The sequence below is a fragment of the Homo sapiens genome, chromosome 22 (assembly GCF_000001405.40).
Source record: "Homo sapiens chromosome 22, GRCh38.p14 Primary Assembly".
Lineage (NCBI taxonomy): Eukaryota > Metazoa > Chordata > Mammalia > Primates > Hominidae > Homo > Homo sapiens.
In genome coordinates, this window is record NC_000022.11 from 29,294,139 (window position 1) to 29,321,308 (window position 27,170).

The 27,170-nt window shown below is 56.7% G+C and overlaps 3 protein-coding genes across 60 annotated transcripts in view, besides 11 other annotated features; 2 read left to right on the plus strand and 1 right to left on the minus strand.

Annotated features, from left to right (window-relative positions):
* EWSR1 (EWS RNA binding protein 1) overlaps positions 1-6,383 on the plus strand; it is a 32,254-nt gene extending 25,871 nt beyond the window's left edge. For 12 of the 50 annotated variants that reach the window (NM_001438532.1, NM_001438535.1, NM_001438463.1 and 9 more), the window contains 6 exons: positions 2,101-2,230; positions 3,689-3,811; positions 4,595-4,757; positions 5,096-5,193; positions 5,461-5,713; positions 5,984-6,383. In NM_001438532.1, the coding sequence (NP_001425461.1) occupies positions 2,101-2,230; positions 3,689-3,811; positions 4,595-4,757; positions 5,096-5,193; positions 5,461-5,713; positions 5,984-6,023 (807 nt within the window). In that variant the 3' untranslated portion in view covers positions 6,024-6,383. Of the gene's footprint in view, positions 1-2,100; positions 2,231-3,688; positions 3,812-4,594; positions 4,758-5,056; positions 5,194-5,460; positions 5,714-5,983 lie in introns of all 50 variants that reach the window. The other 38 variants (NM_001438500.1, NM_001438530.1, XM_011530002.4 and 35 more) reach the window with 7 other exon arrangements.
* Positions 8,811-9,311: an enhancer, noted in NCBI's record as "H3K4me1 hESC enhancer chr22:29698939-29699439 (GRCh37/hg19 assembly coordinates)". NCBI's record gives its function as "activates a minimal SCP1, AML or CMV promoter by ChIP-STARR-seq in naive H9 embryonic stem cells {active_cell/tissue: H9 hESC(naive)}" and the evidence as "EXISTENCE:reporter gene assay evidence [ECO:0000049][PMID:30033119]".
* Positions 11,519-12,264: an enhancer, noted in NCBI's record as "H3K27ac-H3K4me1 hESC enhancer chr22:29701647-29702392 (GRCh37/hg19 assembly coordinates)". NCBI's record gives its function as "activates a minimal SCP1, AML or CMV promoter by ChIP-STARR-seq in primed H9 embryonic stem cells {active_cell/tissue: H9 hESC(primed)}" and the evidence as "EXISTENCE:reporter gene assay evidence [ECO:0000049][PMID:30033119]".
* Positions 11,869-11,918: an enhancer, noted in NCBI's record as "active region_18814". NCBI's record gives its function as "activates an Ori minimal core promoter by ATAC-STARR-seq in GM12878 lymphoblastoid cells {active_cell/tissue: GM12878}" and the evidence as "EXISTENCE:reporter gene assay evidence [ECO:0000049][PMID:35858748]".
* Positions 12,265-13,008: an enhancer, noted in NCBI's record as "H3K27ac-H3K4me1 hESC enhancer chr22:29702393-29703136 (GRCh37/hg19 assembly coordinates)". NCBI's record gives its function as "activates a minimal SCP1, AML or CMV promoter by ChIP-STARR-seq in naive H9 embryonic stem cells {active_cell/tissue: H9 hESC(naive)}" and the evidence as "EXISTENCE:reporter gene assay evidence [ECO:0000049][PMID:30033119]".
* Positions 12,265-13,018: a biological region, named in NCBI's record as "H3K27ac-H3K4me1 hESC enhancer GRCh37_chr22:29702393-29703136".
* GAS2L1 (growth arrest specific 2 like 1) lies at positions 12,512-18,649 on the plus strand. 7 transcript variants are annotated; one of them, NM_001362985.3, is made up of 6 exons: positions 12,512-13,015; positions 13,949-14,600; positions 16,301-16,408; positions 16,500-16,596; positions 16,689-16,860; positions 17,324-18,649. In NM_001362985.3, the coding sequence occupies exons 2-6, from the start codon at positions 13,968-13,970 to the stop codon at positions 18,357-18,359; spliced, it is 2,046 nt and encodes a 681-aa protein (NP_001349914.1). In that variant the 5' UTR covers positions 12,512-13,015; positions 13,949-13,967; the 3' UTR covers positions 18,360-18,649. The 7 variants fall into 7 exon arrangements, with proteins under 7 accessions (NP_001349914.1, XP_011528127.1, NP_689422.1 ...); XM_011529825.1 differs by having other exon boundaries at positions 12,512-12,631; NM_152236.3 differs by having other exon boundaries at positions 12,885-13,048.
* Positions 12,679-12,948: a silencer, noted in NCBI's record as "silent region_13589". NCBI's record gives its function as "represses an Ori minimal core promoter by ATAC-STARR-seq in GM12878 lymphoblastoid cells {active_cell/tissue: GM12878}" and the evidence as "EXISTENCE:reporter gene assay evidence [ECO:0000049][PMID:35858748]".
* Positions 12,969-13,018: a silencer, noted in NCBI's record as "silent region_13590". NCBI's record gives its function as "represses an Ori minimal core promoter by ATAC-STARR-seq in GM12878 lymphoblastoid cells {active_cell/tissue: GM12878}" and the evidence as "EXISTENCE:reporter gene assay evidence [ECO:0000049][PMID:35858748]".
* Positions 13,109-13,248: a silencer, noted in NCBI's record as "silent region_13591". NCBI's record gives its function as "represses an Ori minimal core promoter by ATAC-STARR-seq in GM12878 lymphoblastoid cells {active_cell/tissue: GM12878}" and the evidence as "EXISTENCE:reporter gene assay evidence [ECO:0000049][PMID:35858748]".
* Positions 16,854-17,003: an enhancer, noted in NCBI's record as "active region_18815". NCBI's record gives its function as "activates an Ori minimal core promoter by ATAC-STARR-seq in GM12878 lymphoblastoid cells {active_cell/tissue: GM12878}" and the evidence as "EXISTENCE:reporter gene assay evidence [ECO:0000049][PMID:35858748]".
* On the minus strand, positions 18,795-25,721 carry RASL10A (RAS like family 10 member A). Of its 3 annotated transcripts, XM_011529822.1 has the most exons (4): positions 22,337-23,180; positions 21,727-22,085; positions 19,725-19,849; positions 18,795-19,430 (listed from the first exon to the last, which is right to left on the minus strand). In XM_011529822.1, the coding sequence occupies exons 2-4, from the start codon at positions 22,003-22,005 to the stop codon at positions 19,163-19,165; spliced, it is 672 nt and encodes a 223-aa protein (XP_011528124.1). In that variant the 5' UTR covers positions 22,006-22,085; positions 22,337-23,180; the 3' UTR covers positions 18,795-19,162. The 3 variants fall into 3 exon arrangements, with proteins under 3 accessions (XP_011528124.1, XP_011528125.1, NP_006468.1); XM_011529823.2 differs by lacking the exons at positions 21,727-22,085; positions 22,337-23,180 and adding an exon at positions 25,171-25,721; NM_006477.5 differs by lacking the exons at positions 21,727-22,085; positions 22,337-23,180 and adding an exon at positions 20,890-21,559.
* Positions 19,946-20,750: an enhancer, noted in NCBI's record as "H3K27ac-H3K4me1 hESC enhancer chr22:29710073-29710877 (GRCh37/hg19 assembly coordinates)". NCBI's record gives its function as "activates a minimal SCP1, AML or CMV promoter by ChIP-STARR-seq in naive H9 embryonic stem cells {active_cell/tissue: H9 hESC(naive)}" and the evidence as "EXISTENCE:reporter gene assay evidence [ECO:0000049][PMID:30033119]".
* Positions 20,751-21,555: an enhancer, noted in NCBI's record as "H3K27ac-H3K4me1 hESC enhancer chr22:29710878-29711682 (GRCh37/hg19 assembly coordinates)". NCBI's record gives its function as "activates a minimal SCP1, AML or CMV promoter by ChIP-STARR-seq in naive H9 embryonic stem cells {active_cell/tissue: H9 hESC(naive)}" and the evidence as "EXISTENCE:reporter gene assay evidence [ECO:0000049][PMID:30033119]".
* Positions 25,722-27,170: the final 1,449 nt, after the last annotated feature.

The window sequence follows — 27,170 nt, forward strand, 5'->3', positions numbered from 1 at the left end:
CAGGTGTGAGCCACCACACCCAGCCTATTTAGATCTTCAGTAAAGACTATCGATTTCCTTAAAGGTCTTGCAAATTTTACTAGTTTTACTTCTAGGTTTCGTTTATTTTCAAGTTGCTGTGGTTAAGGGTCTTCGTTAAATGACACTTTTCTGGTTATTACTGGTGTATAGAAATACAGTTGATTTGGCCGGGCGCGGTAGCTCACGCCTGTAATCCTAGCACTTTGGGAGGCCGAGGCGGGTGGATCACGAGGTCAGGAGATCGAGACCATCCTGGCTAACACGATGAAACCCCGTCTCTACTATAAATACAAAAAATTAGCCAGGCTTGGTGGCGGGCACCTGTAGTCCCAGCTACTCGGAGGCTGAGGCGGGAGAATGGCATGAACCTGGGAGGCGGAGCTTGCAGTGAGCTGAGATGGCGCCACTGCATTCCAGCCTGGGTGACTGAGTGAGACTCCGCCTCAAAAAAAAAAAAAAAATACAGTTGATTTTGGGCGGGCGTGGTGGCTCATGCCTGTAATCCCGGCACTATGGGAGGCCGAGGTGGGTGGATCACGAAGTCAAGAGATCGAGACCATCCTGGCCAACGTGGTGAAACCCCGTATCTACTAAAAATACAGAAATTAGCCGGGTGTGGTGACACGCGCCTGTAGTTGAGCTACTTGGGAGTCTGAGGCAGGAGAATCAGTTGATCCCAGGATGCAGAGGTTGCAGTGAGCTGAGATGGCGCCACTGCACTCCAGCCTGGCGACAGAGCAAGACTCCATCTCAAAAAAAAAAAGGAAATACAGTTGATTTTGGTAAATCTTATATAAGGTGATTTCTCCCTGCTTGTAGGTGTGTGTGTGCACAGATATCACACACACCTCAAAAGTAAAATGCTTTTAGTGTCTACTGTCACATTCTACCCTGTGCAAGACTCCTTGTTTGCTTTTTTGTTTTGAGATGGAGTCTTGCTCTGTTGCCCAGACTGGAGTGCAGTGGCACAATTTCAGCTCACTGCAACCTCCGCCTCCTGGGTTCAAGCCTCAAGCCTCTTGAGTAGCTGGGAGTACAGGCTTGAGCATATTAAAAAGACTGCTTTTTAATATGTATATAACATGTAGTTTATTGAGGAATGTGGAGTTTATCCTGGTTAAGAAAGTAGTATTTACCATCAAAATTTTGGAAATAAAGATGTTAAAATAGATTTCCAAGCTGGATACAGTGGCTCACATGTGTAATCCCAGCACTTTGGGAGGCCAAGGCAGGAGGATCCCAAGGATTGCTTGAGCCCAGGAGTTTGAGACCAGCCTGGACAACAGAGTGAGACTCTGTCTCACAAAAAAGAAAAAAATGCATTTCCACATTATTCATACCACAGTTTTGCCATATTTTCTTTTCAGTTTTTAGGTATCACGTTCCTTTTTTTAAGTCAGAGGTATCAATATATATATCCTGTTGTAATCTTTTTTAAGTCCTATAAATAGATTGCTCTTGTGTTACTGGATATATGTAAACAATTACAGACTAAACTGATCGTGTGCATATATAATGCAAAAAAGTACACGTGAAGATATTCTTATACAAGGTAGCTCCTGAATTCAAGTCAACCACATCTGATATTCAGCTGAAAGACTAGTCATCTGTTCTAACTGGAGGAAGTAGTGGCTGTGTTAGACTAACCAAGAATCCCTGTAGTTCACTCACAGCCTGTACACTGTCCTTCACGGTTTAAGGATAATTTTCTTTATGCCAGTCATGTCTTATGTGGTGGTATCAAAGTCTGACTACCCCTACGAGGTGGCTGTGCTCAGTGGATACCTGTCTGGGCATAGAAAATGCCAGGGCAGGCAAACCAGCATCAGAAGATGGCTAAGGCAGGAGTGGGGCCTATCCTGTTCACTTCCACACTTTGGTCTACTTTGGTTTTTATGATAAAGCAGGGATAGAGGAGAAAATAACTTAGAATTCTGAAAAACTTAAAAGCGGAGAAACGGTGACATTTAGTGACTTACTACATGTGAGAAATTGGTACTTTTCCTGGATTTTGCCTGGACTTTTTTCTCCCAAATTAGTATATTCTAGTCATGCCTAACTATGCTATTCTTTGTCTAGATGAACAAGAGAACTGGGCAACCCATGATCCACATCTACCTGGACAAGGAAACAGGAAAGCCCAAAGGCGATGCCACAGTGTCCTATGAAGACCCACCCACTGCCAAGGCTGCCGTGGAATGGTTTGATGGTGAGATGTACTCACTGGCATTCTTAATCTCCCTGGCTATAGAATATGGCATGAGGGAGAAACTTGTGAACCATAGGAGCAAGAAGACCTTCCATCTCTTCCTGGGGGAGGTAGATGGCCGGTCTCCCTGCAGTAGTAGTAGCACCCAGCCATTGACCCTGGATTTGGAGATCCCTTTATTTTGAGGCATTAGTATTACAAATCAACCTTGCTTAAAGTGGCAAACACTTCCTAAGCACAGATTATCAGAAGGTACAGAAAACCCTTCAAAAGAACATCTTAGCCAGTGTACATTTGCATATAGATAAATATATATATTTAAATGAGGCCTTGACATTAATGGTGGGATTTCACTTCAGACAAAACCAACTTGAAAGCATTGAATGACTTGGCCATGTCCAGTGGCTTGCACCTGTAATCCCAGCACTTTGGGAGGCCAACATCGGTGCATTGCTTGAATCCAGGGGCTTGAGACCAGCCTGGGGAACATGGCAAAACCCTGTCTCTACAAAAAAAATACAAAAATTAGCCAGGTGTTGTGGCACACTCCTATACCTATAGTACCAGCCACTCAGGAGGCTGAGGTGGGAGGATCACTTGAGCCCGGAGAGTTTGAAGCTCCAGTGAGCTGAGATTGCACCACTGCACTCCAACCTGGGCAACGGAGCAAGACTCTGTCTCAAAGAAAGTGTCAAATAACAAGTCCTGGTTCTGTTTTCTTGGTCATGCAGTCAGCTTCCCACCAGCTTATTTTCCTCCTTATGGTAGACAGTGTTTTTTGCTTGTGTTGTTTTTTTTGAGATGGTCTCACTTTGTCACCCAGGCTGGAGTGCAGTGACACAAGCCATCTCAGCTTACTGCAACCTCCACCTCCCAGGTTCAAGCCAATCTTGTGCGTCAGCCACTCGAGTAGCTGCTGGACTACAGGCGCATGTCACCACGCTGAGCCTAACTTTTGTATTTTTTAGTAGAGATGGGGTTTCACCATGTTGGTCAGGCTGTAGGAAGGTTTTTAAGTGTATTTAAGTATGGCCTTTTTCTGGCCAGGCACAGTGGCTCTTGCCTATAATCCTACCACTTCAGGAGGCCAAGGCAGGAGGATTGTTTGAACCAAGGAGTTCACTAGCAGCCTGGGCAACCTAGTGAGACACTGCCTCTACAAACAATTTTGTAAAATTAGTCGGGCATGGTGATGCGTGCCTGTAGTCCCAGCTACTTGGGAGGATTGCTTGAGCAAGTGAGATTGAAACTGCAGTGAGCTGTGCCACTGCACTCCAGCCCGGGCAACAGAGTGAGACTCCCATCTCAAAAAAAGCCTTTTTCTGGCCTTGTCATTAAAGATCTTAGAGAAGATTACAGGCAGACCTAATGCATCTGGGAGTGGTCATTTGATGATGATGTGGAGTTGGTGAACAGGGAGTACAGGGGAGTAATTGATGTTCTGTTGTCTTGTTCCAGGGAAAGATTTTCAAGGGAGCAAACTTAAAGTCTCCCTTGCTCGGAAGAAGCCTCCAATGAACAGTATGCGGGGTGGTCTGCCACCCCGTGAGGGCAGAGGCATGCCACCACCACTCCGTGGAGGTACTTTTTCTGAGCTCCTATGTTGCATTAAAAGGTTTTCAGTACACTTCATACCCTTGAGAAACTTGATTATTAGAGTGAAGAAATATAAAATTGTGTGTAGAGTCAATACTAGACTATCGAGAGCTAACAATGAATGTTTGTTGGGAATAAAAGGAAGAGAAGAACATGGGAGGCTGGAAGCCACTCTGCCTGTCAACTCCAGACTGCCATTTATTCAGCTTTGGTTGTGTCTGTATAGACATGCCTATTCCTTACAGAATTGTGGGAGTTCAGCCAGGTGCAGTGGCTCACGCCTGTAATCCCAGCACTTTGGGAGGCTGAGGTGGGCGGATCACCTGAGGTCAGGAGTTTAAGACCAGCCTGGCCAACGTGGTGAAACTCCCTCTCTACTAAAAATACAAAAATTAGCCGGGTATGGTGGTGCATGCCTGTAATCCCAGCTACTCGGGAGGCTGAGGCAGGAGAATTGTTTGAATCTGGGGGGGTGGAGGTTGCAGTGAGCAAAGATCGTGCCACTGCACTCCAGCCTGGGCAACAGTGTGAGACTCCGTCTCCAAAAAAAAAAAAAAAAAATTGTGGGAGCTCTGTTTCTGTAGAGCACGTGGAACACGCTCCTCACAGGGAAGGGGGCTGATGGCCTGAGCCACACGGAAACACGGGACAGGTGATGGGGAAATGACAGCAGTAGTATCTGTGGGTTTACTTAGTGATTTTTATTTCCTATAGCAAATTTGGTGCTACAGAGAAATGATTTGCTGTTTCTTGTTGTTCTTGTTGTAGGTCCAGGAGGCCCAGGAGGTCCTGGGGGACCCATGGGTCGCATGGGAGGCCGTGGAGGAGATAGAGGAGGCTTCCCTCCAAGAGGACCCCGGGGTTCCCGAGGGAACCCCTCTGGAGGAGGAAACGTCCAGCACCGAGCTGGAGACTGGCAGTGTCCCAATCCGTATGTACTTGTCTTGGCAAATTGATACCCTACGAGTGAAGCCACCCTTCCCTCACCCCATCCCCACTCTAGAGTGGATTGCTCTGTCTAGAGGAACAGAATGATGACCCTGATGGCTGGTTAGGGACACTAGTCAGCCATTCACTGGACGCTTCAGAGCCTTCTGAAGATTGATTTGACCTGTCCTGTGGGTGCAATGCTGCCTGAGGCTGTGCCCTAAAGCATGGGTGTACATAGATCCTCTTGATAGTGAGTGTGTACCTGTTCACACACCACCTTTCCTTGTTTATCTTCCTTAGTTCAATTGGTGATTTCTGCTGTGATGTAATTGTATGCAGGGGTTGTGGAAACCAGAACTTCGCCTGGAGAACAGAGTGCAACCAGTGTAAGGCCCCAAAGCCTGAAGGCTTCCTCCCGCCACCCTTTCCGCCCCCGGGTAGGTGCAGGTTTCATGAGTGTCCCCTCAGCTTCCTGGTGCTAAACCTCTTTTCTTATTTGTGGGCTTGGTAAACTGCAGTTGCCCTCTGCTTAACAACTTTGAGTTGTCGTGTCCTCATTTCTAAATTGTCAGCCCGATGCCGAGATTGAGTGAAGTGTCTGGTTTGTTCTGCTGTGAGAGAAGGAAGCAGAGCAGCTTCCACAGTGTCCACAGGGCCTCTGCAGCCACCCACTGACTGCTTTCGCCCTGCTATTCTCACCTTAGGTGGTGATCGTGGCAGAGGTGGCCCTGGTGGCATGCGGGGAGGAAGAGGTGGCCTCATGGATCGTGGTGGTCCCGGTGGAATGTTCAGAGGTGGCCGTGGTGGAGACAGAGGTGGCTTCCGTGGTGGCCGGGGCATGGACCGAGGTGGCTTTGGTGGAGGAAGACGAGGTGGCCCTGGGGGGCCCCCTGGACCTTTGATGGAACAGATGGGAGGAAGAAGAGGAGGACGTGGAGGACCTGGAAAAATGGATAAGTAAGTGCTGGTGAAAAGCAGCTGTGGGCCGCCAGGCACAGTAAGAGGACAGCCCTTCCCAGCTTGGTTGGCGCAAGTCCTCATGTCTCTAGGAAGCTTGTGATAGTGGTTGGGAGGAGCCAGGAAGGGGCACCTGGGGGCTCTGGAAGGGCTTCCTCACCCCTTCCCATTCTAACCGATTGGGAGGAGCCAGGAAGGGGCACCTGGGGGCTCTGGAAGGGCTTCCTCACCCCTTCCCATTCTAACCGAAGGGCCCTCTTTACCTTGCAGAGGCGAGCACCGTCAGGAGCGCAGAGATCGGCCCTACTAGATGCAGAGACCCCGCAGAGCTGCATTGACTACCAGATTTATTTTTTAAACCAGAAAATGTTTTAAATTTATAATTCCATATTTATAATGTTGGCCACAACATTATGATTATTCCTTGTCTGTACTTTAGTATTTTTCACCATTTGTGAAGAAACATTAAAACAAGTTAAATGGTAGTGTGCGGAGTTTTTTTTTCTTCCTTCTTTTAAAAATGGTTGTTTAAGACTTTAACAATGGGAACCCCTTGTGAGCATGCTCAGTATCATTGTGGAGAACCAAGAGGGCCTCTTAACTGTAACAATGTTCATGGTTGTGATGTTTTTTTTTTTTTTTTAAATAAAATTCCAAATGTTTATAAAGAGTCATCCTTCTCGGCCTCTGTTCCACAGTCACTGTGTGTCTGCTGGGAGCATGCTCCCACCCCACCCAGGAGAGGGGTGCCTTCCAGGTAAACGGTTGGTTCAGGGTTTGTGTGAGGGGAAATAAGCGGTTGTGACATGGAAACAGACTCTGGCCCTGATGCAGCCTCTGAGACCCACTAGTGTCCAAAGGTTCAAGGGGAGATCCAGGTAAGGGAGGCACAGGAAGAACTGGAAATAACTTTGCCTTCCATGGGATCACGGATCAGGCACTAGGAGCATCTAAGGGGCTGCTCCCTCAGGTGAGGGACGATCCCTCTCAGGCGGACTGGGTCGGGTCCTCTCATCCCCAGCACTTCTGGGCATGCATTGTGTGCACCTCTGCTGTTTCTTTCCCTGGTCATTTCCTGTTCTAATATGTGTTTGACTCCCTGCGTTTGGAAAACCCTCCCTTAACCAGCCATCATCCCCTTCCCTCCATCAAACCATCTTCCTGGCCCTTTCTACAGGAAGCACATGGAAAGAGCTTTGTCCACCCCTCCCTCTCTGGAACCCACTTCATTCTTCACCTGCACTAAAACAAGCAGCTCTCAGTCACCAACCACCTCTAATGTTGCCCAATCAATGGTCTTTCCTTCTCTGTTCTCCCATCTCCTTCATTGCTTCCTTTTTCTCCTATCCCTAAATGCAGGAAGGCCCCAAAGCTAGCATTGCGCTCCCCTGAGCCGCCACACTGCCTGGCTGTCCTTTCCATACTGTGGCTTTAGCCCTTTCTCCCTAGGGCCAACTCGGCTTGGGTGCATGATGGGTGTAGAGCAGGGCTTGCTCTTGTCCCGTCCTGCCTACACCCCAGTTCAGTAAACACACACCTGCCCCAAACCTTGGAGTCATCCATGACCCATTCTCAAACCCCAGCCCCCAACCTAGCTCTCTTGCAAATCCAGGACGGTGCAAATCCACCCACAGCCCCCACCTCCATAACGCCCCCTCACTGGGTTCCCTGCTTCTCCCCTCAGTATCTCCAGCCCTTCCTCAGAAGCCAGACCAAGGTTTGTGGGGTTTTTTGTTGTTTGAGATGGTCTTGCTCTCACCAAGACTGGAGTACAGTGGTGCAATCACAGCTTCACCTCCTGAGCTGAGTAGCTGGGACTACAGGTGTAGCACCCAGCTAATTTTTTTGATGTTTTTGTAGAGACCAGGTCTCACTGTTGCCCAGGCTGGTCTCAACTTGGGCTCAAGTGATCATCCCACCTTGACCTCTCAAAGTGCTAGGATTACAGGCGTAAGCCACCACACTTGGCCCAAACCAACTTGACACGGGAGGTCATCTCCAGTCTCAAAACCATTTGGTGGCTCCAAGCACGCTTGCCATGCCCCAAAAGACCTCTGGGACCCCAGCTGCCCTGCTCTACCTTGCACGCCAGTCCAGCACTGTTCCTCAAGGGGCCGAGGACGCTCTCACCGCAGCCTTGGTGTGTCAGAGCCAAGATGCACACATAACCTAGGAGGCCCAAACTCGACTAGGGCATCACTGGGTCCCTGCGTCGTGCCAGGCACTGCGCTAAGTACCTCTGTGCGTTTAATTCCTAATAACCTTCAAGGCAGGTAACATAGGACAGCCACACGTCAGCTGAGATGGGAAGAGAGAGGTCAAGGGAGGACTTGCCATTGAGAGGCCTGAATTGAGCTAAGGGTGGTCGCCCTCCAGGCCCCGCACGCTCACCCTCCCACCAACCCACTGTATACAGGCACCTGCTTCTGAAAAGGATGGGTGCTCTGACATGACCCGCATGCTGCCAGCACTAAGGGAAGACAAGCAGCCTGCTCTGGAAGCTGCTACTGCACAAGCATCTGTCAGACTCTGGCATTGCATAGGCTCCCCAGGAGTAGCCTTATGTCCCTGCCCGAGAGGGGTTTGTCACTGGCACTAAATAGCCCTGGTAGAGATGTTTACAGCAGGCAGGTCTATTTTTCTCAGCCCAAAGAAACTTCTGGATGCTCTGGGCACAGATTCCCTCAGGCAGCATGGATGCCAAGCCTGTCTCAAAGGGCGGCAGGAAGCTGGCTGGTGCCAGGGCATGAAGGAGGTGGGCAGGGCAGAGAGCAGAGCAGGTGGAGAAAAAGCCTAGTCTCTACCCACACCCTGGTCAAACTCCCCAAAAGCACCTAGACTAAAAGTTGCCAACACAAACTTGAGGTCCCACGAGGCCACATGGCACAGGCCTGGGCAAAGGTGGCGGGGTCCATGGGGAGACTGATCTATGCCCACAGGGAGTGGCTCCCCTGCTCGACGGGGAAGAGCACAGGGCTGCAGCAACAGCAGTACCAGCAGCTGTGGGGCTGAGGACTGTGCAGTCTGTGACAGGGACAACAGCTGGCCCTCGTGCTGTCCCCTCCTACCCCACTCCTGACAGATCTGCTGGGCGCAGGGCCGGCAGTGAGGACAGTGTGATGCAGGCAGGTTGGAAAGAGCCCACTTGGGTTTTCCAGTTTTGCGTCTCTCTTGTGAAGGGCACTGGAGGCAGCTCAGGGTCACCTGTCCCACAGCCAGAGCAGGAGCTGACCAGCAGGTGTCCTTGGAGCTGAGCCCACACCTGGACACAGCAGCCGGAAGCCTCCTGCGAGTCCCTCACTTAGCCTGGGCTGTGCTCAGAGCCTCAGTCCAGACTGGAGAATTTGGAGTTCTAATCCAACCAGTGCCAGAGCTTCCTGGAGCTGCCCGGTAGCAGGGATGTAGGCCACAATGAGAGTTTTGCCACAGCCATCATCTGACCTCTAGCTGCAACCAAGGCCAAGCAGGCTGCTGGCTGGCACCCAGCAGTGGGCGCAAGAAACTGGCTATGTGCCCTCTGGCCAAAGGCCAGAAGGAGCCCACATGGGAGCCACAGCATTCTGTGCATAGAGGTGGGTGGCCTCAAGGGTCCGTGCAGATGGGCTCAGGGTCTCTATAGCCCAAACCTCCTGTCCCTCCAGCAGTTTCTGTGGTTTCTCTTGGTCCTGCAAGGAACAAGGGAGACCATGTAGAGGCTGAGGCTTTCCCAGAGGTGGCCCCACAGGCCCTGGGCCACCACACGACAGAGGGGGTCAAAGCTACGGTCTACCATGCCCTGGGCCAGGGGTCTGACCCCCCAGTGAGGTCTGCATCATAGCAGCTACATGTCCTAGAATCAGGTGGGAGGCTGTGGTCTAGAACAGGCCTCTTATCACAAGCCACAGCTCATGGGAGAGAAGGAGGAAGGAATCTCGTGTGTGTGTGTGTGTGTGTGTGTGTGTGTGTGTGTGTGTGTGTGTGACGGAGTCTCGCTCTGTCGCCCAGACTGGAGTGCAGTGGCGCAATCTCTGATCTCTGCTCACTGCAAGCTCCGCCTCTCGGGCTCACGCCATTCTCCTGCCTCAGCCTCCAGAGTAGCTGGGACTACAGGCACCCGCCACCACACCCAGAGAATTTTTTGTATTTTTAGTGGAGACGGGGTTTCACCGTGTTAACCAGGATGGTCTCGATCTCCCGACCTCATGATCCACCCGCCTCGGCCTCCCAAAGTGCCGGGATTACAGGCGTGAGCTACTGCGCCCAGCAGAAGGAATTTCTTTATAATCCCTCCTCCCCAGAGAAGTGGATATGCTGAGCCAGGCCACACTGAGCTGGGTAGTGGCATTATTTTTCACAACCCCATGATGTAACTACTACTACTGTCCCATTCTGCAGATGGTGCCACTGAGGCTCAGGGAGCTTCACCATCCCACCCAATGACCAATGACAGAGCCTGGGTTCCGTCCAACTTCACCCATGTCCAAAACCCCAAAATGCAGCAAGGTAGGTATAAGCAGGAGTCAAATTCCTGCACAGCTGCTGGCTACACATATCCCATGCCTTCTCTGGGCCTCAGTTTCCCCAAATTGTAAAATGAGAACACCTAAGAGTATCATAGCTCATCGGGGTATTTTGAAGATGAAACTGTTAAATGTCCACACCCTGATTCACCCCCACCCCAAACCTGCAACCCTCCTCCACCTCCAGCAGCCCTTCCCTCCCCAGGTGTTAGCACCTCCGCCCTCCCAGTGCTCAGCCCTGGGAGTTGTCCTGGATTCCGTCCTCACACTCAACCAATCCACCAGCACATCAGCTCTCCCCTCACAATATGGCCAGAATCCAGCGCCCTCTCACCACCTGGTTTCCTCTGAGGCTCCAGCTCCTGCCCTGGCCCACCACAGCAGCCCCAGGGAATGTTTTTTTTTTTTTGAGACGGAGTCTCGCTCTGTCGCCCAGGCTGGAGTGCAGTGGCACGATCTGGGCTCACTGCAAGCTCCGCCTCCCAGGTTCACACCATTCTCCTTCTCCTGCCTCAGCCTGCCAAGTAGCTGGGACTACAGGTGCCCGCCACCACGCCTGGCTAATTTTTTTGTATTTTTTTAGTAGAGACAGGGTTTCACCATGTTAGCCAGGATGGTCTCGATTTCCCGATCTCGTGATCCGCACGCCTCGGCCTCTCAAAGTGCTGGGATTACAGGCGTGAGCCGCCGCGCCCGGCCGGGAATGTTAAGACCTAAGCCAACCACCCCTGCTCTAAATCACTGCATGGCTCCCATGTCCCTCAAAAGAGACACGGCCCCCAAGGCCCTGCTTAACCGGCCCTGGGGTCTCTCTAATCTCTCTACCTCCTCCCTCACCCACCTCCCTGCACTCCAGCCTCAGCCACCTCCCCAGTCTTCTTGAGCACGCCGGACACATGCCCACCATGGGGCCTTTGCACTGGCCGTTCCCTCTCCCTCTCCAGATATCCCCGACCTTCCTCCCTCACTTCCTTTCCTGATGAGGGATTTTAAATTGCAGCCCCCTCACACCCACACCCTCACCCGGCTCCATCCCTGTCTTCTCTGCACCTCATCCCTGTCTCTGCCCTGGGGCTGCCTCCCTGCCAGACTTGGACAACAGGCCCTGAGAGCTGGCTCTGCTTGGTTCCCTGCTGTTTTGCTGTTGATTTCCAGTGCCCAAAGAGACCCAGCACACAGTAGGTGCCACGCAGGTGTCAGCCTTGAGGATTGCTAGTTACTGCCTTCCTCACTGGAGGAAGTGCCATGGGGGGCGCTGAGGTGAGAAAACGCCTTTGAAAAGGTCACACAGGCCAGGCAAGTGGCTCACACCTGTAATCCCAGCCCTTTGGGAGGTGGAGGCGGGCAGATCACCTTAGGTCAGGAGTTCGAGACCAACCTGGCCAACATGGTGAACTTGTCTCTACTAAAAATACAAAAAGCCGGGCGTGGTGGCAGGTATCAGTAATCCCAGCTACTCGGGAGGCTGAGGCAGGAGAATCGCTTGAACCCCGGAGGTAGAGGTTGCAATGAGCCCAGATCCAGCCACTGTACTCCAGCCTGAGCGACAGAGCGAGACAAAAAAAAAAAAAAAAAAAAAAAGGAAGAAAATAAAAAAGAAAAGGTCACAAGGACTCTCTGGGATGCCTGTGAATGCCTGGCACCAAGAGGCCTGGCTCACAGGTGCTCAACCAATGCTGCTGATCCGTGGATGAGGGCGTCCCCATAATCGTCATGTTCAAATCCTGGCTCCACCAGCTGCTCTCCTGACTGTGCCCCAGTTGGGCATGAGTGTCCTTCACAGAGGTGACACACCAGTTCATTCAGGTCAAGGGCGCAGAGCAGTCCTGGCAGCACACAGTAGGAGATTTATTGGAGCTCTGAGCCTGGCTGTGGTTGGCGGCTTCCCTGCAGGCCTGCCCCACCCGTGTAGCATGGCTGCCGCCCAGACCCGCCCGACGTCCCGCCCAGCCCAGCCGGCAGCAGCAGGGGGCAGGATTTCCCGCTGATCCCGGCGGTCCGTCCTCTGCAGTTTAAAAAGAGCCCAGCGGGGCTTAACCCTCCCGCGTCCGGCCGGCCTCCGATGCCCCCCGTCCCCTGTTCTGTGCGGAACTCCGGCTTTGGCCATCTGCCTACTTCTCTGAGCTTCAGTATCCTCATCTGTAAAACCGGTTCCCCTCATTTCAGGGTCAAAAATGAGCATTCAGTGAGCACAAGGAGCCCTCAGTCGCCAGGGGCATCCTCCCCCTCCCCGCGGCGGTGCCGTTTATCTGGCCAGGGGAGGTCCACCCGGGAGGAGGTGACTTTGCAGCCTCCAGCCGCTATCGCTTCCTGCCTTCATCTTGGGAACAGGCCGTGCTGTGCGCCAGCCCGGGGAGCCCACCGTCTGGGGAGGGGGGCGATTAAAAGGTCCCAACCTCCTCCCCAGGAGACCAAAGAGGTTGGACGGGGCCCCGGGTACTAGGCTGGGTGGGGGTTGGGCGCCTGGGCCGGTCGCAGTTGTCTGGGGGCCCTGGGGCTCTCTGCGTCGAGAGCGCTCGAAGACCCGGGATTCCTGGCCCGATCGCGGGCGGGGGGAGACCCCAGCTCCACCCCAGCTCCCGCCGGCTCGGGGAAGGGGCGGCCCCTTTAAGAGCGCGCGGCCCCGCCCGCCCCCTCCGGGCAGGATCCGAATTCCAGGGAGGCGGGGCGGAGACGGCGGCGAGGAGGAGGCCGCGGCGCGGGACGCATAGAGCTGCGGCTCGGGCGGCGCCTCCCTGCGGCGGCCCGGCCCGGCTCCGGCCCCCGCTGGGGCAATGCTCCCCGGGGCCGCGGGATGAGCCAGGTGAGCGCGGAGACCCCCAGCACTCCCTGCCTGGTGCGCATGGACGGGGGTGGGGAGGCGGGGCGGGAAGCGGCGTCCTCGGCCTCTGTTCCCCGGGGCTGTGTGACCTTGGGCGGCCCCGCACCCTCTCTGGGCCCAGAGCCCCAGCACCGGCAGGGCCTGCGGAGGCCGCTCTGAGTCCTGGCCCCGCAGGCACCGGCCTGGAGCGCTGGGGAGGCTTCTTGGAGGAGGCGGGGCCTGGCCCTGGCCCCGGATCGCCGAGACCGGCCACGCTGCGCCGCCTGGACGCCGGGCTCCTCCACCCACAGCTCTGCGACCTTCACGAGCTCGACCCTTTCTGCGCCTCAGTTTCCTCATCTATAAAATGGAGATAATGCCTCCGCGCGCTGAGCCCGAGCGCGGTCGTGCTGTTACACTATTGCTGCTGCTATGTCGTTAATGACGGCACAGCCCTTATGGAAGGGGGGCCAAGGAAGGCACGGGGACCTTCCCGCAGGACATGGGGTGGGCACCAGCCCTAAGCCATGCACATAACCCACTCTGAGGTCAGGACCTGGGTTCCTTTCGTGTCCACTGGGGGCCTTAGCCGTTGTCTTCACTTCTCTAGGTCCCAGCCCTTCACAATGGGCGCGCCTCCCTGCCTGAGAGGGAGGCCCCAGCCAAGCCCCAGTTTCCACCGCAAAAAGCCACACAGCAAACACTTAATGGACCCTAAATTTATAAAAATTATCCCATAGAGTCCTATGAGGCAGGGAATGTTACTGTACCCATTTCGCAGATGAGGAAACTTGGGGCACCGACATTTCCCAGAGCCAACATGTAAACCAGGCATTTGGCCTGAGTGACAGACTGGTGCAGGTGGCCAGCAGCTTAATTTGTACTGAGCGCTTACTGGGTCCCCACAGCGATCCTGAACTGTGTTCCTGCCCACAGTGACTCGGCCGGTCCGGGCATGGCAGACCCAGTGGCGGGCATCGCGGGCTCGGCGGCCAAGAGCGTGCGGCCATTTCGCTCCAGTGAGGCCTACGTGGAGGCCATGAAGGAGGACCTGGCCGAGTGGCTCAATGCCTTGTACGGCCTGGGTCTCCCGGGTGGTGGCGATGGCTTCCTGACAGGGCTGGCCACGGGCACGACCCTGTGCCAACATGCCAACGCCGTGACCGAGGCTGCCCGTGCATTGGCAGCCGCCCGCCCGGCCCGAGGTGTGGCCTTCCAGGCGCACAGTGTAGTGCCTGGCTCCTTCATGGCGCGCGACAACGTGGCCACCTTCATCGGCTGGTGCCGCGTGGAGCTGGGTGTGCCGGAGGTGCTCATGTTTGAGACTGAGGACCTGGTGCTGCGCAAGAACGAGAAGAGCGTGGTGCTGTGCCTGCTGGAGGTGGCGCGGCGTGGGGCACGCCTGGGCCTGCTGGCCCCACGCCTCGTGCAGTTTGAGCAGGAGATTGAGCGGGAGCTGCGTGCTGCACCCCCAGCCCCCAACGCCCCTGCCGCTGGGGAGGACACCACTGAAACCGCCCCCGCACCAGGGACTCCTGCCCGCGGCCCCCGCATGACACCCAGCGACCTGCGCAACCTCGACGAGCTGGTGAGTCCCCCAGCACCAGGTGCCAGGGACCCGACAGCACAGCCAGTGCCTGCAATCTGTCCCTGAACCTCCCAGGGTCCACCCTGCTATCTGCAGAACAGTCTGCCCCACAAAAAGAGTGCACATGTTGAGCACCAAACCGAGGAATGTATACCTGACCCCAAGGAAATGGGTAGCCCACAGAGAGGGAGGTGCCGGGGAGATGACGCAGCCCAGCCGGGCCTGGGACAGGATGCGGGCTCCTGGCACGATCTTCCCTCACTTTGTGTGCTAACTGTGCCTCAACTGAGCTTGTGCATTCCTTCTTCTGGGGGGCCGCATGATCGGGGCGCCTCCTCTGTGCCCTCCCTGCAGTCAGTCTTAGGCAGATGTACCCACAACCTCATGGAGGCTCGAGGTTGAGCGGGTGCTGTGATGCTCGGTTGAGACGAGGCATGGAAAAACCTGGGCAAGGTGCCTGGCACACAGTAGGTGCCCCAGGGGGCTCTGCAGGTCTCCCCACTCCCCAGGCACCCCTGGGAAGCCTAGCTGGGTTGCTGCTGTTGCTGGGAGCAGGGATCCTGTTTGGAATTACAGGATTCGTTCTACTCTAAGCATAGGCGTTGCTGGGCCCTGCCCCCAAGTCTCTCCTCTCCCAGGATCTGGGTGGCCCCTGCCACCCCTGAGGGCTGGACCAAGAGTTTCCTTCTTATCAGAAGGTCAGGACTACAATGTGCCTGCCTGGGAGGCAGATAGCGGATGGCAGTGGGCAGAGCCTGGGGCCCCACCCCCTGTCCTGGACCAGGGTCACTCAAGGCCCCACCTGCTTATTTCCTCTGGCGGCACCACTGCCGCTGTGGGCGGGGAGGCGGGCAGGGCTGCCCACATAGCCAGCTTGGCAGCGCTCTGGCTCTGGTGGGGGGCTGTATGTGGTGCGTGCTCACCCGGCCAGTGGTCTGTGTGTGCATGTGTCCGATGTGTCTGTGGTACGCCTCCACATCAGTGCCCACCCAGGGGCATGGGGCCCCCTGCACCTGTGTCCTGTAGCCTGCCTGGCCTTCCTGTGGGCCCCAGCCTTCTTGTCTGAGAAGTGGGTGAAGCGGGAGTGAGGACGGGCTCTGGGCCTTCCCCAGGTCTAGGGGCTGTGGGATGTTCGTCACCGGGTCTCAGACCATGGCCTGACCACAGTCCCATCATCTCATCCTGGGCAGCTCCCTGGACCCAGAGAGCCAAGAAAGGGGAGCCGGTGAAAGGTCATGTGTGGGCCGGGCGTGGTGGCTCGCACCTGTAATCCAGCAATTTGGGAGGCCGAGGCGGGTGGAACTCCTGAGCCTGACCAACATGGAGAAACCCCATCTCTACTAAAAATACAAAATTAGCCGGGAGTGGTGGTGCATGCCTGTAATCCCAGCCACTCAGGAGGCTGAGGCAGGAGAATTGCTTGAACCTGGAAGGCGGAGGTTGCGGTGAGACGAGATCGTGCTATTGCACTCCAGCCTGGGCAACAAGAGCAAAACTCCAACTCAAAAAAAAAAAAAAATAAAAAAAAATAAAAAAAATAAAAGAAAGGTCACGTGTGGAAGCTGTACCCCATCCGGGGCAACACTGCCTCCATCCACTTACCCGGAAAGCCTGACTTCCTCCTGACCCTGGAATGGCTGACATTAAGCCCCAGGAGGAGGACTTGACCTCTGACCCCTACCCTCTCTCTCTGGCCTCAGGTGAGGGAGATTCTGGGCCGCTGCACCTGCCCTGACCAGTTTCCCATGATCAAGGTCTCAGAGGGGAAGTACCGTGTGGGGGACTCGAGCCTGCTCATCTTTGTGCGGGTAAGGGCCTGGGGCCGCCCCAGCGGGCAGCAGCCAAGGTGGTGGGCTGCGGGGCGCCCGGGGCACAGCCGTGACCTGCCCACACCTGCAGGTGCTGAGGAGCCACGTGATGGTGCGAGTGGGTGGTGGCTGGGACACGCTGGAGCATTACCTGGACAAGCACGACCCGTGCCGCTGCTCCTCCACTGGTCAGTGCCAGGGTGGGGCTGGGGCTGGACGGGCAGGGGACTTGCTTCTGTGGCTCTGTCCCTCACATGCTGCCTGTCCTCTCTCCCCGCAGCTCATCGCCCACCCCAGCCGAGGGTCTGCACCTTTTCTCCACAGAGGGTGTCGCCCACCACCAGTCCCCGCCCTGCTAGCCCAGTCCCTGGGAGTGAGCGCCGGGGCTCCCGGCCTGAGATGACTCCCGTTAGCTTACGAAGCACAAAGGAGGGGCCCGAGACCCCACCCAGGTGAGATGCAGGAGGACGAGGAGTGAGGGGTCCAGAGGGTGGGGGGGCGTCAGCCCTGGCCTGCATGATGGGTTGCCTGTGCGCCAGAGTGACTCACACCCTGGGAAAAGTTCCCGTGGGTGGGGGCGGGCCTGGCTTCCCATCTCCATGGCAACCCAACCAAACCAACAACACAGCTGGGGCGGGCCCTGTGGCTGGGCGGCAGCCAGTCCAGCTCTTGCTTCCTCTGGCCCGTCCTGGGAAGGGGGGTGTCTAGAGCCCAGGAAACTTCTTCTTCCGTGGCTTTTGGGGCCCTGGGCCGCTGGAGGAAGCTGCTCACTTCTCCCTGGAAGTCCCCAGGACAGACCGATGCCCCTGACAGCCCCGTCCACCAGCCACATACCCTGCTGTTCCTCTCCCTGCCTGTTCTGCATGCCAGTCCTTCCGTGGTACCCCATCTGTCTCTATTGTCCCCCTGCCCCAGGCCCCGGGATCAGCTGCCCCCCCATCCCCGCTCCCGCCGCTACTCCGGGGACAGTGACTCCTCAGCCTCCTCCGCCCAGAGCGGCCCCCTTGGTACCCGCAGTGATGACACAGGCACTGGCCCCCGGAGGGAGCGACCCAGCCGGCGGCTGACCACAGGCACCCCGGCCTCTCCGAGACGGCCTCCTGCCCTGCGCAGCCAGTCCCGAGACCGGCTGGATCGCGGCCGGCCCCGGGGGGCCCCAGGAGGCAGGGGAGCCCAGCTGTCGGTCCCCAGCCCTGCCCGGCGGGCCCGGAGCCAGAGCCGCGAGGAGCAGGCTGTGCTGCTTGTGCGCAGGGATCGAGACGGGCAGCACTCATGGGTGCCAAGGGGCAGGGGCAGTGGGGGCTCGGGCAGGAGCACCCCCCAGACTCCCCGTGCCCGCAGCCCTGCAGCACCCCGGCTTTCCCGGGTCTCCAGCCCCAGTCCAGAGTTGGGCACCACACCGGCCAGCATCTTCCGCACACCCCTGCAGCTCGACCCGCAGCAGGAGCAGCAGCTGTTCCGGCGCCTGGAAGAGGAGTTCCTGGCCAATGCCCGGGCCCTTGAGGCTGTTGCTAGCGTGACCCCCACTGGACCAGCCCCTGACCCAGCTCGGGCCCCCGACCCTCCAGCTCCTGACTCTGCCTATTGTTCCTCCAGTTCCTCCTCTTCGTCCCTCAGCGTCCTGGGTGGCAAATGTGGCCAACCTGGGGACTCTGGCCGGACGGCCAATGGGCTGCCTGGGCCCCGAAGCCAAGCCCTTTCCAGCTCCTCCGATGAAGGCAGCCCCTGCCCTGGCATGGGGGGGCCACTAGATGCACCTGGGAGCCCCCTGGCTTGCACTGAACCCTCGAGGACCTGGGCACGGGGTCGGATGGACACACAGCCAGACCGTAAACCCTCACGTATCCCCACGCCTCGGGGCCCCCGCCGCCCCTCCGGACCCGCAGAGCTGGGGACATGGCATGCCCTGCACTCAGTCACCCCGAGGGCTGAGCCAGATTCCTGGATGTGATGGACCAGCTCAGCTGTCCCCAGACCCCATCCCTTCTCCTTTTCCTTTGTGGCCTTAACCCTTCTGCATCAGGGAGCCCCCTCTGCCTCTTGAGTACCAGACCTCATGGGACCAGACCCCTTGGGACCACATGGCACAATGGGACCTCTGTTGTACATTCCGGTTGGGGGATGAGCGTTGCTATTTAATTACTAATATTATTGAATGCCTTAGAGGAGGCCGGGCGAGCCCGGTGTTCTGAAGACCTGTGGCCCAGCAGAGCCTCTGACAGTAAAGTTTTGCTCCAGCCACCTGTCTGTTTCTTGGGGACTCCACCTTGGGGCCATTCAGACCCTTTCGAGGACCCTGGAGTTAACTGCCTGGAGGCCAAGCCTGGCAACTCTGACCTCTAGGCTTAAGGCGTTATCCCGCCCAGCCCAGAAATCCCAGGCGCACTCAAATTATTTTCCCTTTTATTATCCCGTGGTAGGTGTGGCATAAAGAATATGTCCAGTGAAGCTCCAGGAGCAGGCTGCGTGTTTCCAGTCAAGTTCATAGCCAAGTCCTTTCCATCCAATGGGATTGTGACCCATTGAGGTCCCAGAAAGGACTGGTCATCTCCAATGGAGCTTGGGACCTGGTTGGGTCCAATGAGGTTCAAAAGGGGGCCAGTCGCTTAGGAGACTGGGTTGGAGCTTTCCTCATCCAATCAGGGCGGAGACTTCCCTGTCCAGTCCCAGTGAAGTTGGGCGATCCCGTCCAATCCAGGTCCCTGATTGTCCCAGTCACAAGGTGGGGCCCATGGATGGCACTGTCCGATCGGGTCACATGAGGCTGCAGCGCGCGGGATGCAGCGCCCCCTGCAGGCGCAGGGCCGGGTGTGCAGGGCGCGCGCGCACCAGAGCGCAGCGCAGCAGCTCGCGGAAGAGACGCAGCACGTGCCAGTTGTACTTGGCGGAGCACTCGAGGTAGCCGCAGCGCCAGCCCCTGCGCACTAGGGCGGCCAGCGCGCGCCGCGGTCCGAAGCGCAGCCGCTGCCTGTCCCGCTTGTTGCCTACCACGAGGATGGGCGCTTCGGGCGCGCCCGCCGGCCTGGGGGCCGAATGGAGATGAGAGACGCGGGGACCCCACGGCCGGAGAATTCCCCCAGTGGGTATACACACGCAGGCGCATTCCCTTCCTACGGCCAGAGACACCGCCCCCCCCGCCGCCCCAACGAAACCCCAGGCCCATGTGGGCCAAAGAGCACATACAGCTTAAGACCTTCCCACGGGCGAAGGCCTAAGACCCGGCCCACGACGTTGGGAGACCCTACACACTCTCCTCAGGCAAAGGCCCTGCCAGACCTGTCCTAGCTCCCCACCGCCAGAACTGCCGGGCCCCTACCTGGTCTCCGCGATGCGCTGCCGCAGGGCCTTCACGTAGTCGAAACTGTCCGGGCTGCAGATGTCGTAGACGAGCACGAAGGCGTCCGTGTCCTGCAAGCTCCAGTCCTTAGCGTCTGGCCACTCCTGGGGACAGGAGGCCAGGGTTTGCGGAAGCCTCCTTTCCACTCTTCCGCTCTCGAACCCTCTGCAGGGGCCTGGACGCTAATCCTCAGGCCAACATCACCCCCATACAGACCTCTGTGCCCCTCCCCCAAGCTTTCCGGGCCGTCTCCTCATGACCACCAGGGTAAAATTTTCCAAATCGTGCCTGGAGCCTGTCAGCCAGCCTCCTTCATCCTTGGTCTCCCCTCTGTTTACCCCGAATCTTCCTCTTTTCAGCTTTCCCCAACTCGGCTCAGGCCGCTCTCCTCCCTAGATGCTCTCGGTGCTTACCACGGCCTCTAAGACTAATTCCAAAGCCCTTGGCCCGAGTCCCGTGGTCCACCACGCCCCCAGATTGTCAGCTGTAACCGTTTATGACCGTAGCGTAAGCACCTGCTGGTCTTTCCACCTGGTATGTTTTTGCCACTTCCTTTACTCAGAACTTCACTCGGTCTTCCAGGTTCAGCTCAAATGCCACTCCCTCCAGGAAGCCCTGCTTAATCCTGCCTGCTCTTTCCTCTTCACTGCTCTAGGGTCGGAGGTCTGTCCTTTACTTTGCACAAATTACTAAACGAGTCTTCGCTCCAGGGGACAAAAATGATAGGGCAGAGAATGAACCCCTCCACCAGCCCCCGTAGAAAGTACACCCCTGCTCCTGACCCCAGTCTCTCCCATTGTAGCTCTGCTCAAGGCCCCAAACACAAAACGCCACACTCTCGGGAAGGCACCGTTATGCACCACCAAGAGCTGCTCCACACCCCCAGCCGAGGCAGGCAAAGGTGGAGGCGCTCACAGGAGCAAGGGAACGCCCCTGGGCAAAATCGCCCGGCCTCCAGCCTGGGCTTGGGCGTCTCCAGGTCGGCGGGAAGGGCTGAAACGCAAGTATCCCAGGACGCACACACATCCCTCCATCCCGGAGCACAGCCAGGCGCCCGAGGCCTCCACGCGGACACGCACGTGTGCACCGAGCACGCACACCCCTCACACTGTCACACGCCCCTGCCCGCTCCTCGAGCCGCTACCTCCGGACCCCCGGGGCTCGAGCCGGGGCCAGCGACGTCGCCGTCGCGGATGCTCAAGTCGTAGACGGCGCCGTCGAGCAGCACCGCGGGTCGGTAGAGGCGCGGCCCGTCCGTGGGCCGGTGGCGCTCGGGGTAGTCACCGAACAGGAACTGGCGGATGATGGCCGTCTTGCCCACGCCCGGGGCGCCTAGAACGGCCACCCGCAGGCTACCCCCCATGGCCGGCCGGCGCTGTCGCTCCCCGCGCTGGAAAGCCTCATGGGCCGGCGCCGCACCGTGCGCCCCCAGGCCGTGCGCCCCGCGCGCCCTGCCCGGTGCGCCACGGCCCCGTCGCGCTTCTCGTCGCCCCTCGGAGCACCGAGACCGGAGAGGGCAGGCCCGAGGCAGGAGCTGGCGGCGGGAGGGCAGACAGACAGCCGAGTGGGCAGACAGGTGGCGGGCGCGCGAGCGGCTCGGGCGGGTGCCGAAGCTCGAGAGAGAGCAGAGCCGGAGCGGCGCTCAGACACCGCCTCCGCCCCGCAGCGCCAACCCAGGCGCCGGCGGACGCGCGAGGCGCCGAAGTCCGCCCCTCTCGCGGCGCGGGTCCCGCAGCGGTGCGGGGCGCGGGGGGCAGCGCTGCCTCCCGGAGCCTCTGTGCCTCTATCCTTCTCTCGCTTCCGCGCCTGGAGTCGCCGCCCCAGCCGCCGGCGCGAGCGAGCGGGGCCTCCCGGAGGCGGCGATGAGGTAACCGCCCGCCCCTCCCACCTTCCCCCACCGCCCAGGACGCCCCTCCCAGGAAGGGTCGCAGGAAGGTGACTGGGGGACAGAGATCCCGGAGAGGGCCTACCCCTTCCTTACCTCCTCCGCGTGTCCCGCTCCTCTCACCCGCTCCAAAATAGAAGCCCCTTCCCACCCACTGCCGCGGCCGCTCTTCCAAACACTGCTCGCCCCCACGCTGGCTCCCGACAAGCCCCGGCCCCCGGAGTCAGGCCGCCCGGGGTCCGAATTGGGGGGGGCGGCTGTGTGACCTTGGGCGAATCGCCGCACTGCGCTGGGTCTGCGCTCCGCATCCATCACAGGCAGACTCCTCAAGAGGCTCCAACCTTTTCTTGAGAGCCTACTATGTGCCAGGCCCATTACCTACGTGATTCTCGAACCTACAGCCTCAGCCTGGCATCGCTGGTTGAGAGAAGAGGAAACAGGCCCGAGAGGGGAATCTGCAAGGTTAGAAGGGCAGTGGGGGGGCCCTTGAAGTCTCCTTTGAAGTCCCTCCTACCTTCCTCCTGCCCACGGGGGTAAATGGCCCACACTAGACAATATTCAAACAGCCGTCCTCGAGGGGAAGTGGGGACAGAGGGTGCCGAGACCACAGCAGCTTAGCCCCAGATCCCTGTCCCAGCAAGGCTGGAGGTGACTAAATAAAGATCCAGAAATTGGCCCACTCCACCTCCATCACTACTAAGGTCACCTTTCCTGCGTGAGTTGCAACCCGTAGCGCCCCTCAAAGGGATGCAACCTCCAAAACAGGCGCCCAGAGCCCAAGTTCCCCCTCCCTCGAGCTAGTGGAGAAGCTCCTGCCCCATCACAGCTTGGAAAGCCTGGGTTAGCCCAGCCCCCCCATCCTCCGCCTCTGCTCTCCTCCCCGCTGTGTGGGGGCTCCCACGTCTCTGACCTGCACATGGCAATGCTCAAGAAATGGCGGCAATGCTCAAGAAATGGCCGCAATGCACAGATCTCTGCACTGACTAAGGAGTTCATTTATTTATCCCCTCAACAAATATTCCAAATCTTATTGCTTGTCAGGAGGCTGAGATAGATTTAAAAAACAGAAAACAGGAAAAAAAAAAAAAGTTCTGCTTTGGGAGAGAAGGTTCTAGAACACATGGGATCTAGGGACTGTCAAAGCACAGACAATGTGCCCACACCAGCCCAGGGGAAGTAGAGGAGCTAAATCCTGAAGGGGGAGGAGGCACATCCTCCAGGGAGCCTGTATAATGACAACCAGAAAGTGTCTCCAGAACAATGGCTGTGCTTTCATCCTCCCATGCTAGATCGGGGGCTGGGGTCCGCTTTCACTCCTCTCCTCAGCCACTAGGAAGCTCAGAACCACCTCTGTCTAGTGTTCCAGGTCTTCTAGCTCAGTGAGTGGGGACTGCTGGCTTCATCTTTCTTTCCTACCATGATTTTTCCCTTCACTTGATGTCCTCTTTCACGTTGTAACTTTTCAGACTTCTGGGTTTTGTTGTTTGAGACAAGGTCTTGCTCTGTCACCCAAGCTGGAGTGCAGTGGTGTGATCTTAGCTCACTGCATCCTCAACCTCCTGGGTTCAAGTGATCCTCCTTGCCTCAGTCTCTCAAATAGCTGGGACTGCAGGTGTGTACTACGACATCCAGCTGATTTATTTTTATTTTTTGTAGAGGTGGAATCTCACTATGTTGCCCAGGCTGGTCTTGAACTCCTGGCTTAAGCAATCCTCCCTCCTCAGCCTCCAAAAGTGCGAGGATTACAGGCGTGAGCCACCACATCTGGCCAAACTTCTGGGTTTTTGACTTTTCAGGCTTCTGGGTTTTGTGAGCTGCTTCAATTCCTTCGGGGAACAAGGCAAGGAGTAAATAACAAGGCACTCAGCAACACAACAACAAAACCCAGAAGTCTGAAAAGCTGACACCAGGACGGTCTTTTGTTTGTTTGTTTTGAGATGGAGTCTCGGTCTGTCACCCAGGCTGGAGTGCAGTGGTGCGATCTTGGCTCACTGCAACCTCCACCTCCTGGGTTCAAGCAATTCTCCTGTCTCAGCCTCTAGAGTAGCTGGGACTACAGGCACATGCCACCATGCCCGGCTAATTTTTGTGTTTTTTAGTAGAGACGGGGTTTCACCATATTGGTCAGGCTGGTCTCGAACTGCTGACCTCAGGTGATCCACCCGCCTCAGCCTCCCAAAGTGCTGGGGTTTCAGGCATGAGCCACTGCGCCCGGCCAGGACGGTCTTTTTTAAGGTGTTCTCAATGCTAGGCGCACTCCCGCCCACCCCTGGGTATTCTTTCTCTGAAAAACTTTCCTTGCTTCTCCTTCCGACACTGCAAACAGAGCTGTGTGTGAGGCGTCTCTGGCTCCCAGTATGTGTTTTTGGATGGCGAGGGGAAGGGGCACTGTGGACTGGGAACGTCCTGAGGCTCCCATGAAGCCCTGCAAACGTGCCATGTTCCCTAGGAGACTCTCACAGCAGCGTTCCTAGCAGCAGTGCCCATTTATCAAGGGCCTGCGATGTGCCAAGCCTGACCCACAGCCTCATGCTCACTAAGGCTCCCTGGGACGCCATGATTGGGCCACAGTTGCCTAGCAGGAAAATGGCAGCACAGGGGCCGGAACCCAGGCCCTTGGGCTCCAGAGCCTGGCTGAGAAGCCTGGCTTCATCTGGACCCAGAGGGTTCTCAGGAAGTACTCAACTGAAGCTCAGCCCCCAGTGACCACTCAGCCCCCTGTCGGGAGGGACTTGGGGAGGCCTCTAGGTCCCGTGGAGCCCCCCATCCACAGGGGCTGAAATGAGCTCTAATGGGAGTGTGCAGCCCTGTGCCAGGCTTCCTAAAGACCAGCAGGCTGGGGGGCTGAAGCTGCCTGTCTGCCTGGGATGTGGATTTCAGGGTTCTCTCATCAGTCCCCTCATTCCTTCCCCAAGGAAAGGCTGTAGGCCTCCTGCCTGCTGCCCCCCTCCAATCCCTATTCCCCAGGGGCCTCCTGGGCACTCCTTGAATGCCCCTATCCAGGGCTCCAGGGACCACCTGCCAACTATGCATGCATCTTCTCCTTCAGCAGAGGGGACTGGCACTAGGCACACAGTGGCCAAGGTGGTCCTGCCTACCCTCTGTGGCAGGGAGAAAGAGACAGACATGCAGCTAGGCAGGGACGGGTGAAGACAGGAGCTCTGGGCTGGTTCAGGCCTGGGGAGATGAGGAGGCCTAGGGTAAGCACCAGTCCAGCGGGAGTTGAGGGGCTTATACTGAGCCCTGAAGGATCAAGCCACAGATAGTGGGGAGGGCTGGGCAGGGGCAGGCACCAGGTGGGGAATTCTGCTTTCCCCAGTTCATTGCCCACAGGCTCCTAACACCAGCTACCTGGCCTTCACCCATGTGTTTCTTCCCAACTGGGCCTGATTCCAGCCCATCCCTGAAGTCAGGCACCCAAGACTGCATCCAGCTCCCAGGGGGTGTTAGTTCTGGACTCCTTTGCTAGGCCACACCAGTCACCACTAATTATGGTCTGTCCTGGCCACGAATCATGGCTCCACACCACCAGTAACTCACCTCCTGGACCCACGAATGGAGGGATCCTCCACAGCTCACATGCTTGGGGTGTAGTGGGTCCTTGGACATCCTCATGATGACTCCCACTAATCACAGCCAGGCAGCCTCTTGAGGGCTGGGCTGGTCTTCCAGCCATCAGGACACAAGGAGGCTGGGCAGGGCTGGGCTTCCAAGCCTCTGAAAGTTTCTTTTCTTGGGTTTGAAACCTCCTTCCAGGGCTGTGTCATCTGTGCAAGTTACTTAAATTCTCTGCACCTTGGGCTGGGTGCAGTGGCTGACGCCTGTAATTCCAGCACCTTGGGGAGGCCCAGGCGGGAGGATCGCTTGGGCCCAGGAGTTCCAGACCAGCCTGGGCAACACAGTGAGACCCCGACTCTAGAAAAAATTTTAAAAATTGGCTGGGTGCAGTGGCTCACGCCTGTAATCCCAGCATTTTGGGAGGCCGAGGCAGGGGAATCACGAGGTCAGGCATTTGAGACCAGCCTGGCCAACATGGTGAAACCCCATCTCTATTAAAAATATAAAAATTAGCCAGGCATGGTGGCGGGGGCCTGTAGTCCCAGCTACTCTGGAGGCTGAGGCAGGAGAGTCACTTGAACCCGGGAGGCAGAGGTTGCAGTGAGCCGAGATTGCGCCACTGCACTCCAGCCTGGGTGACAGAGCGAGACTCCGTCTCAAAAAAAAAAAAAAAAAAAAATTAAAAAACTAGCTGGGTGCTGTAATCCCAGCACTTCGGGAGGCTGAGGCAGGTGGATCACGAGGTCAGGAGATACAGATCATCCTGGCTAACATGGTGAAACCACGTCTCTACTAAAAAATACAAAAAATTAGTCGGGCATGGTGGTGGGCGCCTGTAGTCCCAGTTACTCGGGAGGCTGAGGCAGGAGAATGGCGTGAACCCGGGAGGCAGAGGTTGCAGTGAGCCAAGATCGCACCACTGCACTCCAGCCTGGGCGACAGAGCAAGACTCTGTCTCAAAAAAAAAAAAAAAAAATTAGCTAGGCGTGGTGGTGCACACCTGTGGTCCCAGCTACTCAGGAAGCTGAGGTGGGAGGATTGCTTGAGCCCTGGAGGTCGAGGCTACAGTAAGCCATGATCACACCACTGTACAGCAGCCTGGGTGACAGAGCAAGACCCTGTCTCGAAAAAACAAAAAACGAACAAACAAAAAAACACCTCTGCTTCTCAGCTTCCTTCTCTGTGAAAGAAATATTAATTTTCTTGACTTCACTGAGCTGTGGGATGCAATGAGATGATACAAAGAGAAAAACAAGACAACTTGTTAAGTTTGGGGAGACAAAATTGGTACATATAAAACTTCCATTTTTCTATGTAAATGGCTACAAATACAAAACATAATGGAGGCATATGTGTGTATACGTGGGTAAACAGGCACACATATATTTTCTAGCTCTGTCAGCAGAGGGCCTGGAAGAAGTGACACCCAGTGGCAGTGAATACATCCAGCATCTAGCTCTTGGTTTCTTTCCTTTTTATTATTTATTTATTTTTGAAACAGGGTCTCATTCTGTTGTCCAGGCTGGAATGCACAGGCACAAACATGGCTCACTGCAGCCTGGACCTCCAGGGCTCAAGCAATCCTCCCACTTTAGCCTCCCTGAGTAGCTGGGACCACAGGCATAGGCCACCACACCCGGCTAAATTTTTGCATTTCTTTGTAGAAACAGGGTTTTGCTGGTCTCAAACTCCTGGGCTCCAGCAATCAGCCTGCCTGGGCCTCCCAAAGTGCTGGGATTACAGGTGTGAGTCACCACGCCTGGCCGCTCTTGGTTTCTGTTTTTTCTTTTTTTCTTTTTTGAGATGGAGTCTCGCTCTGTTGCCCAGGCTGGAGTGCAGAGGCGTGATCTCGGCTCACTACAACCTCGGCCTCCCAGGTTGAAGCAATTCTCCTGTCTCAGCCTCCTGAGTAGCTGGGACTACAAGGCGCCTGCCACCACGCCCCGCTAATTTTTGTATTTTTAATAGAGACTGGGTTTCAC

Excerpts from the sequence above, each read along its gene's own strand:
- GAS2L1 (NM_001362985.3), top strand. The coding sequence starts at position 13,968 with ATGGCAGACCCAGTGGCGGGCATCGCGGGCTCGGCGGCCAAGAGCGTG. Across the intron at positions 16,409-16,499 it reads GCCTGCTCATCTTTGTGCGG|GTGCTGAGGAGCCACGTGAT; the intron begins GTAAGGGCCTGG and ends CCACACCTGCAG. Across the intron at positions 16,597-16,688 it reads GTGCCGCTGCTCCTCCACTG|CTCATCGCCCACCCCAGCCG; the intron begins GTCAGTGCCAGG and ends CTCTCCCCGCAG.
- RASL10A (XM_011529822.1), bottom strand. The coding sequence starts at position 22,005 with ATGGGCCTGGCACATAGTAGGCTCTCAAGAAAAGGTTGGAGCCTCTTG. Across the intron at positions 19,850-21,726 it reads GAGCGGGACACGCGGAGGAG|GAGTGGCCAGACGCTAAGGA; the intron begins GTAAGGAAGGGG and ends TCCTGTCCCCAG. Across the intron at positions 19,431-19,724 it reads CAGCGCATCGCGGAGACCAG|GCCGGCGGGCGCGCCCGAAG; the intron begins GTAGGGGCCCGG and ends TTCGGCCCCCAG.